The 16,089-nt window shown below is 45.9% G+C and overlaps 1 protein-coding gene across 3 annotated transcripts in view, besides 8 other annotated features; it reads right to left on the bottom strand.

The window, feature by feature from the left end:
- Nucleotides 1-16,089, bottom strand: part of LDLRAD3 (low density lipoprotein receptor class A domain containing 3) — a 288,075-nt gene that overhangs the window by 117,094 nt on the left and 154,892 nt on the right. The gene's annotated exons all lie outside the window — the stretch shown is intronic.
- Nucleotides 3,227-3,750: an enhancer, noted in NCBI's record as "NANOG-H3K27ac-H3K4me1 hESC enhancer chr11:36132843-36133366 (GRCh37/hg19 assembly coordinates)". NCBI's record gives its function as "activates a minimal SCP1, AML or CMV promoter by ChIP-STARR-seq in primed H9 embryonic stem cells {active_cell/tissue: H9 hESC(primed)}" and the evidence as "EXISTENCE:reporter gene assay evidence [ECO:0000049][PMID:30033119]".
- Nucleotides 4,801-5,324: an enhancer, noted in NCBI's record as "OCT4-NANOG-H3K27ac-H3K4me1 hESC enhancer chr11:36131269-36131792 (GRCh37/hg19 assembly coordinates)". NCBI's record gives its function as "activates a minimal SCP1, AML or CMV promoter by ChIP-STARR-seq in naive and primed H9 embryonic stem cells {active_cell/tissue: H9 hESC(naive and primed)}" and the evidence as "EXISTENCE:reporter gene assay evidence [ECO:0000049][PMID:30033119]".
- Nucleotides 4,849-5,028: an enhancer, noted in NCBI's record as "active region_4629". NCBI's record gives its function as "activates an Ori minimal core promoter by ATAC-STARR-seq in GM12878 lymphoblastoid cells {active_cell/tissue: GM12878}" and the evidence as "EXISTENCE:reporter gene assay evidence [ECO:0000049][PMID:35858748]".
- Nucleotides 5,849-6,372: an enhancer, noted in NCBI's record as "NANOG-H3K27ac-H3K4me1 hESC enhancer chr11:36130221-36130744 (GRCh37/hg19 assembly coordinates)". NCBI's record gives its function as "activates a minimal SCP1, AML or CMV promoter by ChIP-STARR-seq in primed H9 embryonic stem cells {active_cell/tissue: H9 hESC(primed)}" and the evidence as "EXISTENCE:reporter gene assay evidence [ECO:0000049][PMID:30033119]".
- Nucleotides 6,373-6,898: an enhancer, noted in NCBI's record as "H3K27ac hESC enhancer chr11:36129695-36130220 (GRCh37/hg19 assembly coordinates)". NCBI's record gives its function as "activates a minimal SCP1, AML or CMV promoter by ChIP-STARR-seq in primed H9 embryonic stem cells {active_cell/tissue: H9 hESC(primed)}" and the evidence as "EXISTENCE:reporter gene assay evidence [ECO:0000049][PMID:30033119]".
- Nucleotides 7,544-8,487: an enhancer, noted in NCBI's record as "H3K27ac-H3K4me1 hESC enhancer chr11:36128106-36129049 (GRCh37/hg19 assembly coordinates)". NCBI's record gives its function as "activates a minimal SCP1, AML or CMV promoter by ChIP-STARR-seq in primed H9 embryonic stem cells {active_cell/tissue: H9 hESC(primed)}" and the evidence as "EXISTENCE:reporter gene assay evidence [ECO:0000049][PMID:30033119]".
- Nucleotides 8,488-9,432: an enhancer, noted in NCBI's record as "NANOG-H3K27ac-H3K4me1 hESC enhancer chr11:36127161-36128105 (GRCh37/hg19 assembly coordinates)". NCBI's record gives its function as "activates a minimal SCP1, AML or CMV promoter by ChIP-STARR-seq in naive and primed H9 embryonic stem cells {active_cell/tissue: H9 hESC(naive and primed)}" and the evidence as "EXISTENCE:reporter gene assay evidence [ECO:0000049][PMID:30033119]".
- Nucleotides 13,093-13,262: an enhancer, noted in NCBI's record as "experimental_21313 CRE fragment used in MPRA reporter constructs". NCBI's record gives its function as "activates a minimal promoter by MPRAs in K562 erythroleukemia cells, with activity observed for the introgressed 11:36123416 variant allele {active_cell/tissue: K562}" and the evidence as "EXISTENCE:reporter gene assay evidence [ECO:0000049][PMID:34662402]".

The raw sequence follows: 16,089 nt of genomic DNA, 5'->3' as shown, positions 1-16,089 counted from the left end.
GTATTCTGGACACGGAAGAGGCCATGTCGCCTTTTATATCCTATTCGTAGAAATCACATAGCATCATTTCTGCCATACTCTACTGATCAAAATAGTCACAATAGCTGGCCCAGTTTCCAGAAGTAGGGACACAGTCTGTACCTCTCAAAGGTAGGAGTGCCAAAGAATCTGTGGATGTACTTTAAAATTGCTGCACTGAGAGTGGAAGAAAGACAGAAGTAACAGGGCTGTGGATAGGGGAAAGGGAATGTATTGGGAAGAGAGACGCACCATGGAGTCACGTCCCCACAAATACACAGCACATTTCCAGAAAGAAAGGCAGGCAGGCACTGGCCAACCAAAACGAGTTTGAGGAAAAATCTATAAAAGGTTCTGTGCCACACAGGAAAGACTGCCTGACAAATTAGCTAATGAGGACAAGGCATCTGTCCTTGGAGGTCTCCTCCAGATGCAAATTGGCCCAAATTTGAGGCCAACTGACCTCTATGGAAAAAGCAAAACCAAAGTCAGATTCCTGTCATCCAGAGAACAACTGTCACCTTGATCACACTCCAAAATCAAGATAAAAGCTTGGCTTTCCAAGGGTCACAATGGGCTTACAATAAATGAGCCCATGTAGGAAGAAATAAATATGTGAAGCACCTCTTCCACTTGACATTTGGGGCAAAGGAGACGGGCAGCCACTACAGGATGTCTCTCAGCCCCGATAGGCAGATTTCTCCCGGTTGGCACCGCACAGTGTTGCAGCTCGACCCATTTCACTTGAGTGAGCCCAAGGAGGGACAGCATGGACTGAGAGTTCTCTCTCAGGCTGTGTGAACTGATGTCACTCACAGCAGCAACAAATCTTCTAAAAGTCTTCTAAAAGTTCCGGTGTTGATCAGTGCAAAAAACCTACAGCCCATGCTACTGCATAAGCTAACCTTTGACCTATCGGCTCAGTCCAAAAGAGTCTGTGGCAAAGACTGTGGCTAATCAATCCCCAGTACCCATCCAATCTCCCTTTCTGCCTTTTCATAATATTATAGAAAGTCCTGACTATTTTGATCAATAGAGTATGGCAGAAGTTGGCTGGGAATGGTGGCTCACACCTGTAATCCCAGCACTTTGGGAGGCCGAGGCAGGTGGATCACCTGAGGTTAGGAGTTTGAGACCGGCCTGGCCAAAATGGCGAAACTCCGTCTCTACTAAAAATACAAAAATTAGCTGGGTGTGGTGGCGTGGGCCTGTAATCTCAGCTACTCAGGAGGTTGAGGCAGGAGAATCGCATGAACCTGGGAGGCAGGGGTTGCAATGGGCTGAGATCATGCTGCTGAACTCCAGCCTGGATGACAGAGCAAGACTCTGTCTCAAAAAAAAAAAAAAAAAAAGTGATGCTATGTGATTTCTACACCTAGGATATAAAAGGTGATATAAGTACCCACAATGAGAAAGAAAACATTGATCAGCCTCCCTTGCAGCTAGGTGTGGTCATGTGAATATGTCATGATCAGGCAACCACATCATCAGTGAAAGTGATGTGTATAACTTTCAGGTCATCTTCTTATATATCAAGCTATCTGTCCTGGTCTCCCCTTCTTATTTCCTTTTTCTTTCTTTTTTTTTTAATTTCAGTCTTCTCCTTCTGTACTTCCCCGCTTTCTGATGTCTCAGAAATAGTAACCACTGTAGTGGTCTTGGAATTCCTGAGGAGCGGAGAGCTCCCTGTTGGCCTAAACTGCTCATCTCTGGGGTATTCCAAGTGAGAGATCTTTTTCTCATCGAAGGCACTTATTAAGCCATAACCTGCATCTCATTTTAGCCACTTCACGATGGGATCTCTTTGTTATGGCAGCTTACCCTATGTTCTAACTAATACAGAATCCCTGGGCCACCTCAAATATTCCACATTAAGAACCTAATGTGAGAAAGAATCATAGAAGAAACCCTAGAAACTAGATCCCAAAAGTCCCTCAAAAGATGTGCACATATCTGTCTTTCTGAACCTTTTCCCTGTCTTCCCATTCCTTCCTATTTGTCAGAGGTATGCAATGTAGGTCTTCCATGACTCCATGTATGACTGACTGACACTGACCATTCTTGGTAAGAGCTTGCAATCCACTCAAATCAGTTCAAATGAAGGGAAAGGCATACTCTAGAAGACAGAGGCTTCACTGAAAAGGCAGAGATACTGGGCTTCCTGGGGATTTGGGAAAACATCTGAGGAAAAAAAGCAAATACTCTCTCCATCTCTCTTTTGGGGATGGCCACCTCTGGCCTCTTGGGCTGGCCTCTAGGTGGACCAGCACTCTCTACTATGAATTCTGCCTTTCCCAGCTGTAGCTTCTATGTGACTGTGTCCTATCCTACGGAATGATTTGCTTAGCATCCTAAGGCTGATTCAGCCCTGAGTGTCTTTGAAAGAGACATTCTGATTTGCTGCTGGCCAGCTGATAAACAGACTAGCCTAGGATCAATTGTCCACTTAAGGTTTGGTCAACAATGACTGAGATGGCAGGGAGGTGTCTTGGAGAGCAGAGGGCTGCCCCTTCCAAAGGTCATGAGTGCACGGTCTGGAAGTTGCTGAGGACAGGGCAACTAATTTAACATACATTAAGTCCCCTGGCACTCTGGATATATGGGGAATTCACGTTTACTTTTAAATAGAAGGCCTTATGCAACATTTCTCAAGTTAGTAGTGGTCAAAGAGATGGTTGTGTATTCCTGGTCTTTCTCTTCAATTAAAAAATAAGCTACTAGAATGAAGCAGCTCATAGGAATTCTCTTGACTCTCAGCACCTAGCAATGTGCTCTGCAAAAAGGAGGGTTTCAGAGTAGCAGAGGTATCCATGTTGGCTGGATTTTGAAAATCCAGGAATAATGTTGCAACAACAAGCCTGCATTAAAAAGGATGTGCTATGAGGATCCATTTCATAAAGTGTGGTTTGCACAAACTTATTCTCTCTCTATTTCTGCTGTAGAGGTACAAATAAATTTTCTTAAAGAAAAAAAGGAGGGTTTCAATAACAGCTGACCTACTGATGCAAATTTGAGCAGCAGACACATGATAAAGGGCACAAAATCTCAAGGAAGAGAACCAATGGGAGAAGATGGGTAAGTGTCATTTAGAGGCATTCCACAAAATGAACTAAAGATGAACCAGACTGGGCCGGGCGTGGTGGCTCACGCCTGTAACCCCAACACTTTGGGAGGCCGAGGCAGGTGGATCACGAGGTCAAGAGTCCAGGCCAGCCTGGCCAAGATGGCGAAACCCCATCTCTACTAAAAACATAAAAATTAGCCGGGTGTGGTGGCAGGCGCCTGTAATCCCCGCTACTCGGGAGAGTGAGGCAGAGAAGTGCTTGAACCCGGGAGGCGGAGGATGCAGTGAGCTGAGATCGCTCTACTGCACTCCAGCCTGGGCAACAGAGTGAGACTCCATCTCAGAGAAAGAAAAAAAAAAAAAAAAGATGAAACAGACTGATAACATGGTGGGTTTCCAGAGAGGAAAACAAGGTGGAAACAAGAAAGAGCTGCTTGGAGTACTTGGGGGATGTGACAAGAACTGACATATTTGCAACACAGAGCACATTTCCACCTTTCACTGGCCACAAAGCTATCAGGAAGTCAAACTGGGGCCAAAAAAAAAGACATAACTGACCTGATTGAATAACCCAGGTAAGTTTTTCAAGCCACTTGTTGGAAGCAGGAGGGGGAGGATATCCCTTCTATGGTCACTGAGCTTCCCAAACTCTTCTCACCCCTAGAAATTCACAGGTCTACGATTCCCCGATTCCCCAGGCTCATCCTGCCTGTAGGCTAGCAGGGCTCAGTAAGACACAAGGATAAGCAGAATTCTCACGGCATGCAGTGATAACGAGCTGCTCCTATGAATTTCTTTTCCAGGGTTGAACATCTCATTTCTCCTGGGTTTCTTCCTCTGTCTCCACCTTCTCATTGGATCCTGCAGGGAGGGGGCCCCCAGCAGTCAGCCTCAATGCACCCTAACAGTTTCACGTCTCCCACTCCCCACACATACACATGCACACTTTGCTCCAGCCATACAGAATCTCTGTCTTTGGCTATACTATTCCCTCTCTGGCTAGATGCCCAGCCCCACGTTTGTTTTCAGGTCCATTTTTATGTATTTGTAAAGACTGGGCAGCGATTTCATTTCTCTGAAGCCTTGCCATATCCCCCTAGGAAAAACTGTCACTCCTTGCCAGCCTCAAGCTCCCACGGCATGCTGCTCATTCCTCTATTACAGCATTTATCACACTTGAGGGTAATTATCTGCAGGCTATTATGTTTCTCCCTTGCAGGACTGTGAGCAACTTTGAGCTGATCTATAATAGTTTGTATTTCTTCCAGTACCTGGGTGAGACCGGGCAATTGCAGGCACTCTGCAAATGATGTGTGCATGAACGAATGTTAGAAAGACCCAAGAGAGTCAAAGGGTGTTGGGGGTTGGGGAGCTGAGAGCCACAGCAGTCAGTCCATGGAGGGATAAATGTCCCCTCTACAATCAAGCAGCACAACACAGCAGTCTTAGGGCTCCAGAAACTTGCAGAGCAAACTTGCAGAGAGACAGCAAGCCCTACCCCTGATCCCTGACTGCTCTGAAACTCAGTCCTTCCACCTCAGGAGGAATCACACTCTGCCAGGTGTCCAGGATGGACTCCGCCATTCACCGGGGAGAGAGAGCTAGGACAGAGGCAGGGACCAACTGGAGAGGGACAAGGAGGGGAAACCTGCACCTGAAAGAAATGGGGGAGACTAAAGAAACAGCCCTAAAGATTACCGCAGTAACAAAGTTATCAGGAAGCAACTACTGTCTTTGAGTACAGAATCATTCTGACTTGCTTCTAAATGAAAGACGTTTCAGAAATCTTCAAACTCCTGCTGCTGTGGTTAAAGAAAAGGAAGCTTTTGTCATGCAAACACTCTATTACTAAGAAGAAAACCCCACCTGTACACAAAGGCAGCAATCAACCTCTCCCAGCCTCCTTCAGTTTCTTCGAATGGAGTCAGCATTTTTGCCTCTCTCAGCCCAGCTGGGCTTTCAAACTCTAAATTAAAAGTGGAAAAAAGGCTTCCACATTCTTCCTGTTAAATGGACCTCCAGCAGCTTCATTCTATGAAAATCTACAGGAATTCCTTAAGGGTGATGATTCTTTCCTACGGACTCTCTAATGAAGCTCTTGACATCACTTGCAGCCACAAGGTTTGGCGTAAATACTGACCACCCTTCAAATTCCAGGTTGTGACATTTTTGATTGGATCCCCTAAACGCAGACTATTTTTTTTTAAATATAAAGCTTTTTCCATCCATATTTGGAAAACTAAACTAAAATTAGCACTTCTCCTATCACATGCCCTGCACGACTTCTGTAGAAATTATCTCTGCCTGCTTAGTCACTTGGTTCTATTTGGTGACAGAAAAAAGCAAAGATCTCTCTATTCCAAAAGTATAAGCTCTTTTACTCTCAATTACCCAGACTAGTGGGGGGCCTGGAGCAGCAAAGTGGAAAGCAAGCACAATCAGAAAATAATACGGCAGATTCTCTAGTTCCACAAAATTAGTATCCCCATGGTGATAACGCAGCTTGCTACTCTCATCCAGTTTGTCATCAAATCTTGGCGATTCTAGCCTGAAATACTTCCTGAAGCCATCCCCCATATGTTCCCACTGCCCCCACCTTCACGTGTCTTATCCGTGGCTTCCCACGGCCCATGGGAGAGAGCGCAACATCCTTCCCATGGTTTCCCAGGCCCCCAGTCCACGCAGGCCACCACGGACCACTCCAGCTTCCCTGCAGGCTGTTCTTCCCCCGTCCATGACAAAGATTCTCTCCTTGACCAAACTCCACTCCGGTTCTTCTGAGCTCTCTTCTCAAAGAAGCCCTAGCTTTGGGGCTTCTGCGTTCCTCTCTGCATTGTCTGATTCTAGCAAAAGCCCTATGAGTCAGTTTAGCAAAATCCTCCATCTGCCACATGCTCACCCTTGATATCTGATCCTGTTCCTCATCCTCCACCATCCTCCACCATCCTCCTGGCCTGCCTTCAGTGAGAATCCTGTTAGGTCCATTGAGTCAGAATCCCCCCTTACCCTGATGTTTCCTCTTAGTAATTTTCCACCCACTAACCCCACCCTACTGCTTGGCTAAAAATTCCCACTTTTCCTATTATATTTGGAATTGAACCCAGTTCTATACTGAGGTCTCTTTTCCCTGATGGCAACCATTTTTCTAGATAAAGTTTGTTTTTAGTGCTTTACCATCTAGCTCTGGCTTTTCTTTGACATCCACCCCAGGGCAGCCACGTGGATCTGCCAGTTCCTCAAATGCATCACGCTGTTTCTCACCTTGGGATCTGCTTACCTGCCATTCTCTCTGCCTGGAAGGATCCTTCTCCGCTGACCCTCCTCTCTCTTGTCCAGTAACTCTTCCCCATCCTTCTGGTTTCAACTTCAGCATCTTGTCTTGAGAAAGACTTAGCACCCCACTGACTGCCCTGCCATTCACTTCCAGAGTGTCCTGCGCCTGTCCTTGCAACACATTCCTCACGCTACTGACCAACCGAACACCTGCTCTTCCTATAGAATATGAGCTCTATTAGAGCAGAGACCACATTTGTCTGGTTCCCTATTACCGTTCTTCAATTCTAAGATACAATTTTTATTTTACATTTTAACATTCTGAAACTGGAATGCATCTTTTTTTTTTTTTTTTTTTTTTTTTTTTTGAGATGGAGTCTCGCTCTGTCACCCAGGCTGGAGTGCAATGGCGCGATCTCGGCTCACTGGAAGCTCTGCCTCCTGGGTTCACACCATTCTCCTGCCTCAGCCTCCAGAGTAGCTGGGACTACAGGCACCCACCACCACGCCCAGCTAATTTTGTTTTTGTATTTTTAGTAGAGACGGGGTTTCACTGTGTTAGCCGGGATGGTCTCGATCTTGATCTCCTGACCTCGTGATCTGCCCACCTCGGCCTCCCAAAGTGCTGGGATTACAGGAGTGAGCCACCGTGCCTGGCCTGGAATGCATCTTAAAAACAACACTGTGCCATAATTTAATGGTCAGTATTGTTTCTTTCTCAGCAAAACATAAAATAATGATAGCTCTTACAATAGATGGCATTTTAAGATTTAACAAAATTTGGTACGTGCCTTTGTCTCCTGGGCATAATGCCTGGCACACAGTAGCAATCAAAAATACAGTCATGCGTTGCTTAACGACAGGGATATATTGTAAGAAATGCATCATTAGGCGATTTCATCATGGGGTGCACATCATAGAATTAACTTACACAAAGCTGGAAGGAGGAGCCTACTACACACCTAGGTTATATGGTACAGCCTGCTGCTCCTAGGCTATAAACCTGTACGGCATGTTACTGTACTGAACACTGTAGGCAACTGTAACACAATGGCAAGTATTTGTGTATTTAAACATAAAAAAATACAGTAAAGACATGGTATTATAATTTCATGGGACCACAGTCATATATGTAGGTTGACTGCAATGTCATTATGCAGCACATGACTATACCTGTTAAACTACAAACAGAGGCTGGGCATGGTGGCTCACACCTGTAATCCCAGCACTTTGGGAAGCTGAGGTGGGCAGATCACCTGAGGTCAGGAGTTCAAGACCAGCCTGGCCAACGTGGTGAAACCCCGTCTCTACTAAAAATACAAAAATTAGTGAGACATAGTAGCGGGCGCCTCTCAGCTACTCGGGAGGCTGTGGCAGGAGAACTGCTTGAACCTGGGAGGTGGAGGTTGCAGTGAGCCAAGATCGCGCCATTGCACTCCAGCCTGGGTGACAAGAGTGAAACTCTGTCTCAAAAAAAAAAAAAGAAAAAGAAAAAGAAAAATTACAGACAGACATTTCCTGAGGATCTAATATCAATCAGTTTTGCTATGTAGCAGACACATCTTAAAATCTCAGTGGTTTACAACAGCAAAGATTCACTGGCTTCTCCTGGATCTGCAGGCTGGCTGTGGCTCTGCTGGCTTCAGCTGGGACAGATCCTGAGCTGCAGGGTGGGTCCGGGTCAGTTCCATGTGCCACTGCATTCTCCTTGGACCAGCAGCGCCCAGGGTATATTCTTCTCCAGGAAGATCTCTGAGATGCAAGAGGCCATGCTGGTCTCATGCTGACTGCCAACACACCACGGGCCAAAGCAAGCCCCGCATCCACGGGGCAGGGACATTTCCTCTGGCCATTCTGCCAGGTCACACAGCAGAGGGAGGGAGTGAAGAACTGAAAGTAAAAATCCAGTCTATCACAGACCCCATATGGTGGTGGTGGGTTTGGGGTAGGTGGAGCGTGTGAAGGGACACCAAACTCCAAGTTTCAGCAGTAGCTAAAGGACAGTTCCCTCGATGAACTATATACAATATACCCTGGTCATCACGGATGCAGGACACAAAAGCCACAGAGTTAGCAGTGTTGGTCTGATTTGGTGACCCCTCTGCCTAGCAGCCCTTAGGACCCTCCTCCTGGGGTTCCCCACCTCTGAGGTTTTATTTGAGGTATCTATTTGAGAGGGTAAGGCAAGAAGCAGTCACTGTCCCTAATTCTTTCTTCTCATAGATACATATATATTCACTGTGAGCCCAGAATCCAGCAATAAATCAAGGTCAGTCACCAGCTAACTTAGGCATTAGAACTCCAAGGGGAAAGTGCAACTGTCCAAGGTCCTTAGAACACAGATATTGATGGATTAGGCCATGGCTTTCAAGGAACATGGAAGGGTTCTGACTCCACTGACTCCAGGTCTGGGGCTGTTGTAGAGAGAGATAATGAGGTCTGTGCACCAAGTACAGAAAATGAACTTGAAATACAGGCTGGGAGGTGTCCTCCTAACCAAGCATGGCTCTACCAAGTCCCACACCATAGGCAGACCAGGAGTTCTCCCTACCAAGGCGATTCTTTACTAGCAGCTCTCCTTACCGAGGCGATTCTTTACTTCCAGCTCTCCCTGCCAAGGGGATTCTTTACCGGCAACTGTCCAGTTCCCACACAGCATCCAGCACTTCCAGTCTCCCTTGGAAGCTCACTTTCCTTCGCTCTTGCACTCTACTCTGATCACTCTCTGGCAGTTTCACATCCTCTTGGCTATATTTCTGCTCTGGCACTTAGTGAATGGCTGTGCCTTGCTTAAGTGTGACTTCTCGGGGACTGTATTAGTTGGCTACGGCTGCTGCAACAAAGTACCACAGACTAGGCAGCTAAAACAATAGAAATGTATTGTCTCCTCGTTCCAGAGGCCAGAAGTCCAAGATCAAAATGTCCGCAGGGTTGGCTCCTTCAGAGGGCTGCGAGAGAGAATCTGTTCCGAGCCTCTCTCCTGGCTTCTGGTGTTTGCTGGCGATCTCTGCTGATCCTTGGCTTGTAAATGCATCATCCCAATTTCTGCCTTCACCTTCACATGGTGATCTCTCTGTGTGATGTCGGTGTCCAAATTTCCCTTCTTATAAGAACACCGGTCATATCAGATTAGAGCCCCACACAACTCCAGTATGACCTCATCTTCACAAGTAACATCTGCAATGACCCTATTTCCAAATAAGGTCACACTCTGAGGCACTGGGGTTTAGGACATTAACACAAGAATTTCAGCGGGGGAGGAGGACAATTCAACAAGGGGCCAAGACCACTTCTATATCCCTGCATGCAGCCAGGGGCCTGGCACAGGGGAGGTAACACCTCACCTACCCATTACCTCCCCAAGGACAAAAATGCCAACTTGAAGAATGCATACACTCTTACAACCACACACACCGCCTTGTCTTTCTCTCTCTCTCTCTCTCTCTCTCACACACACACACACACACACACACACACACACAAATTCTGCAGAAGGAACAGGACAAAGCTGTCAATGTTAGCTTCCAGTGAGGTGCCAAATCTCACAGCCAGCTTTTCAAATTCTCCTCAAGCCTTATCACCAGGATACAGCAAGCAAGATAAAGAAACTGCCAAAACACTTAATTAACTCTCCCGGCATTGGTGGCTGCTTGAGAAGAGCTTAACTGCCAGACATTCCTCAGGAGGAGGGAAGGTGGACAGGCACATTATTCTTTTTCATGGAAAGGAAAACTTTTGGAGTACAAAGAGAGGGAAAACATGCCAGTCTTCATACTAATCTCCCCCATAAACTCACAGGCCAAGAGTAGGACTGACCGCCTGAAAGTCCTGGGCCCAGCTCAGTGTTACCAGACAGGAGTCTTATGGGGTGATGAAAAACATGAGTCTGTCCGTCAGTGTGATGAGCCGAGTCCCCATCCTGGCTCCACCACCTGCTCCCTGTGCGGACTAGACCAGGAACAAACTATGTGTTCCTCAGTTTCTTCATCTAGAAAAGGGGTGTGATAAGAGCACCCACTCTCAGAGGGAATCTGTGAGAACTGTACAGGAAAATACAATAATGCTCAGAATGGTGCCTGACATGCAGTTAGTACTCCAAATGTTTGCTATTCTTATAAACCCCTGCATGATCTTCCAAAGGTTTCACCGATCACTGTGACCTGAGTCACCACAAGCTCTCTGTGGTTAGAGCAGTGAGAATTGGAGCCCACCTGAGAAGTATTCAGTATGTCAGTTATCTAATGTGGCAGAAAAAATGACCCCCAAAACTTAGAGGTTTAAACAAACAAACATTTATGATCTCACAGTTTCTATGGGTCAGAAACCCAGGAGTGGCCACACCCTGGCTCAGGGAGTCTTACAAGGCTACAGTCGGCGTGTCAGCCGGGGCTGCAGATGTCTCTGTTTGACTAGGGGAGGACCCACTTCCAACCTCACTCATGTGGCTATTGGCAGGCCTCGGTTCCCCGCTAGCTTAGGTTGGAGCCCTCCTTCCGTCCCTTGCCATATGGGCCTCTGAGTAGGGCGGCTCACAATATGGCAGCTGGCTTGCCTCAAGAGTGGGAGAGAGCTAGCCAGCGAGGGCAGGCAAGACAATGCTAGAGTGGCTCCATCATCTAACCTCGGGACTGACAGCCGCCACTTTTGCTGCATTTTCTTTGTTAAAAGCGAGTCACAATCCATACACTCATGTCTTACCATAATGATTCACAATAGTCAAAAGGTGGAAGCAACCTAAGTGTCCATCAATGGATGAATGGATAAACCAAATGTGACATATATACACCTGAATACCACTCAGCTTTAAAAAGGAAGGAAATTCTGAGATAGGCTACAACATGGATGGACCGTGAGGACATTATGCTAAGTGAAATAAGCCAGTCACAAACATGGAACATGAAGAGAGAAAAGCAGGATTTAAAAATGCAAACTTCAAACGGCCTACAGAGGGACTTGTCATTCTTCTTAAGGGCAAACAAAAATCTGCTTCAGTAAAACACTGGGATGGGCGTGGAAAAGGGTGTTGCCCAAACCTTCGGCACGCCTAACCTCCACGTCTTAGACTTGGGAGTCTTTTCACTGAACGTCTTAGGGCACCCTGAGTAAGTGAGTCCAGGACACATACACACTTAAGAATGATTAAATACTGGGCCAGGCACGGTGGCTCACGCCTGTAATCCCAGCACTTTGGGAGGCCGAGGCGGGCGGATCATGAGGTCAGGAGATGGAGACCATCCCGGCTAACACGGTGAAACCCCGTCTCTACTAAAAAATACAAAAAAATTAGCTGGGCGTGGTGGTGGGCGCCTGTAGTCCCAGCTACTCTGGAGGCTGAGGCAGGAGAATGGTGTGAACCCGGGAGGTGGAGCCTGCAGTCAGGCTGAGATCGCGCCACTGCACTCCAGCCTGGGTGACAGAGCGAGACTCCACTTCAAAAAAAAAAAAAAAAAAGATTAAATACTGTATGATTCCACTGTATGAGGTACCTAGAGTTACCAAATTAATGAAGATAGAAGTAGAATGATGACTGCCCGGGGCCTGGGGGGAAGGAGAATAGGGAGTTATTTTTTAATGGGTATAGAGTTTCAGATTTGCAAAATGAAAACGTTCTGGAGATTGGTTGCACAACAATGTGAACATACTTAACATCTACTGAACTGTATACTTACAAACGGTTAAAATGATAAATTTTACAGTAGACAAATTTTGACACACGCCAAAAGAATGGGATCTAAGATCTAATCACATTTGAAGGGATGAGATTATACCAAGGCATGAATACCAGGAGGTGGGGATCATCAGAGGTTGCCCGCCACATTCAGTCAACATTTGTAAGGCCACCTGAGTGCCGCCGACCCCCAACATGTATATGGCAGGACCTGCTAACTCTCAGATGTGTCCCTCCCACAGAGAGTTCCAAGCAACAGAAAAGCCATCGAAAGCCTGCTCCACAGCTATTACTTTATTTCTTGGAAATGGGTTATGTTGCCAATCAATGAAGCCCCAATTAAAATTCAGTTCCACCACAACCTTCTTTGGTCTCTAATACATCTCATATAGAATACAAAGACAGAATAATGACTGCACTTTCAGGGCCCCATTCTCGTGCCCAGTTCCTTACAGACTGTATGTTAGTTTTCAAGGCCAAGGATAAGGAGGGGAACTAAATCCCAGATAAGGAGAGAGAGGAGGAGGGGCTCCCATAAACTGGTGTTGCTAAAGTGGAGAAACCACTATTTCATACCCTAGTCAAATTGGAAGAGAATTATTTCAAGCACTCTCTTTCTGGTCTTGGAGCCAGCCAGTTTGCTCTACCCCATCAAGATAAATATGATAAAATATCATTTTCTCCCACATAACTGAGAGCAAAGATCTATTTTTAAGGGCTACACACCCAGCAGAAGGAGAGAGAACAAAGTTTGACTAAGTGAGCTCATGTACAGAGGTGCTTAGCAGAGTACTCAGTGCATCAAAAAGTATTGTTAAGATGGCAGTGGGTCGGCCGGGTGCGGTGGCTCACGCCTGTAATCCCAGAACTTTGGGAGGCCGAGGCGGGTGGATCACGAGGTCAGGAGATCAAGACCATCCTGGCTAAGACGGTGAAACCCCGTCGCTACTAAAAATACAAAAAATAAGCCAGGCGTAGTGGCGGGCGCCTGTAGTTCCAGCTACTCGGGAGGCTGAGGCAGGAGAATGGCGTGAACCTGGGAGGCGGAGCTTGCAGTGAGCCGAGATTGTGCCACTGCACTCCAGCCTGGGCAACAAGAGTGAGACTCCGTCTCAAAAAAAAAAAAAAAAAAAAGATGACAGTGGGTCAAATCCTATGTGGCATAGGGCAATATTTTGTCTAGTCAAACTATCTCTGAGATTCTTCAGGAAAATACTGCATAGAGCTCAGTGTGGGTCAGTTTTCCCACAGCACTGATGTGCTGGGGTTCCTTTGGTCAAGCACCAAAATGAGTTAGTCGGTTTGGACATAGAGGTTACATGATGCAAGAAAACACACCCTTAATACCAGAGTCTCACTCAGGGCAGGGAGATGTGTACACCCTACGAAGGATGAGGCTGCAGAATTGCAGACAGCTAAGGGAACTCCAGATCTGTCTCCCATCTCACACTCACTGCAGGGCAGATTCCCACTGAGGAAATGACGGAATTCTCTACCCAATTTAAACAACAATAATAATACTTGTTATTATTTTAATAAATCGTGGATATCTGAACTCACATAACTTAAAAACCTATACGGTGCAATATCACACAGGGTGCAAATTAAAACACAGCATTAATAACAACACTCTACCAAGAAGTCTTTTCTAGTCTTCAGCACTTAGCAAATCCACTATGTACAGAGCACAATGCCACCACGTAGGTTCGGCAGGATTTGAGAGGCAAAACGGGCACAGGTCCTGTTCTTGTTACTCTTCTTGGGTAGCTCACAGCAATGCCTTCCACAAGTGGGCACCTTGTGGGGTGGCTGTTATACCCATGAAACTGACAGGTGTCAGCAACTGCCTGGTGGGCCTTATTTTCTGGGAGCACGTGCATATGTAGCTTATTTTCTAAGGGGATGCCCTCTGGCTAAGGAAGGCACAAAGCTGAGATTCTAAGGAAAGTATGTGTCAAGAGTTGGGCTTCATATGTATGTGTCCACCACTAACTTTCTCCATAAACCTCATATTTATGGGACGTGGAATATGGTGAGAGAGAAAAAGCAGAATTTAAAAAAATAGGAGCTTTAAACAGCCTACAGAGGGACCCACCATTCTTCTTAAGGGCAAGCAAAAATCTGCTTCAGTAAAATACTGGGATGGGCACAGAAGAGGGTGTTGCCCAAACTATTGACAGGCCTAACCTCCACATCTTAGACGTGGGAGTCTTTTCACTGAACGTCTTAGGGCACCATGAGTAAGTGAGTCCAGGATACATACACACTTAAGAAACTGTATAGGCCGGGCGCAGTGGCTCACGCCTGTAAATCCCGGCACTTGGGGAGGCTGAGGCAGGCAGATCACAAGGTCAAGAGATCAAGACCATCCTGGCCAACATGGTGAAACCCATCTCTACTAAAAATACAAAAATTAGCTGGGCGTGGTGGCACACGCCTGTAGTCCCAGCTACTTGGGAGGCTGAGGCAGGAGAATCGCTTGAACCCGGGAGGCAGAGGTTGCACTGAGCCAAGATCACGCCACTGCACTTCAGCCTGGGTGACAGAGCAAGACTCCGTCCATGCCATCCCCCCAAAAAAAGAAACAATCGCCATAGAAAATGTTCCTCAATCCTTCCTATCTATGCTAATACTTACTTGATTTTGCATTCTTGTTCCCTATTTGGTGTCCATCACTGGCAAGACATTGGCATGTTTGGTTTTATAAAAATTTGATCTTGTGTAAAGGCCAGCAATACGTTGCGTTCAGTCAGAAGTTTGGAAATTTCTAGGCAAATGGCAGGATTATAAACCTCTCTCAGGTGACTGTAGAATGGTGGAGCTCAGCCTTCAGTGTGCATTAGAATCACCTTGAGGGCTTCTTAAGTAAAACGCCGATGGCTGGGCCCACTCCCGCCAGTTGATTTAGCTGATCTAGAACGGGGCCTGAACAACTGCATTTCTGGCTGGGCCCACCGACACCAGTTGATTTAGCTGGTCTAGAATGGCGCCTGAACAACTGCATTTTCGGAGTTCTCATGTGATGCTGATGCTCCCGGACTGAGGATTATACTTTGAGAACCACTGTGAAGAGTCGACCCAAGAAAGGCATTTTCCAGGCAAAGACAATCAGAAGCTAATTCTATCCAAGACTCGCCTCCCACAGCTGTTCTCTGCACAAATCTTGGCAAAGTCTATGCCAATACACATTTTGTCTTTTCTTTCCTATGGACCTCAGGCATATAGATTTAGATTGACCATAATCCTTGGTTTGTAGCCCACTCTCACCAGTTGTTATGTATGACCATCTGTTCATTCACTCGTTCATTTTTAATAGCATAAACACCAATCAAAATAAAAGCTAGGACCTTGAAAATAACCTACATCTAACTACATGGAACTTATCCATCATCTATCCTACCTCCCAATATATGAGTTAACCAGCTAAGCAGTTAACCATCATTCTCTTACTTTTCTTTTCACACTTTTATTAGATCTATAAACTATGGTACAATCATACAGTAGAACACTGAACATAAGTCAAGACAAACAATCTCCAACAACAAACAATACAGGTGAATCACAGCAATATAATACTAAGTGAAAATAGGAAAGATTACATACAGATGATACCAATTTATAACATTAGAAATATATATTCTTTCGGATGCCTTAAAACAGATGTGCATTTTAAATCTTAGTATTTCTAATCACTGAAGAAATGCTAAAAAAAAGAGTCCATGAGTAAAGAAATGTACCCGGTCAGTTTTAACTAGGGAGGACATGACCTTATCCCATTGTGTCCTCCTCAGACTCCCTAACAAAGCTCATCTTCCCATCCTCCAGCTGCATCCCTCAGCTTCCATGAGACAGCCCCAAAATCAATAGCCCAGACACAAGGAGGCAATTCACAGAAAAGGAAACAAAGCAGTAAACAAACATGACGGGAAAAAATGTGAACTCTGCTCATAATCAGAGAAATGCAAATGAAAGCATTTGGGGAGGTTGTTATTCTATGACTACCAAATTAGCAAAAATGGGAAAAAAAAAATAGGGCAGCAGTTGTGATGCCTGTGAATGTCTGTGA

This window comes from Homo sapiens, chromosome 11 (genome assembly GCF_000001405.40).
Source record: "Homo sapiens chromosome 11, GRCh38.p14 Primary Assembly".
NCBI lineage: Eukaryota > Metazoa > Chordata > Mammalia > Primates > Hominidae > Homo > Homo sapiens.
Note: the sequence above shows the minus strand (reverse complement) of the source record. Positions and strands in the feature narration are given on the sequence as shown.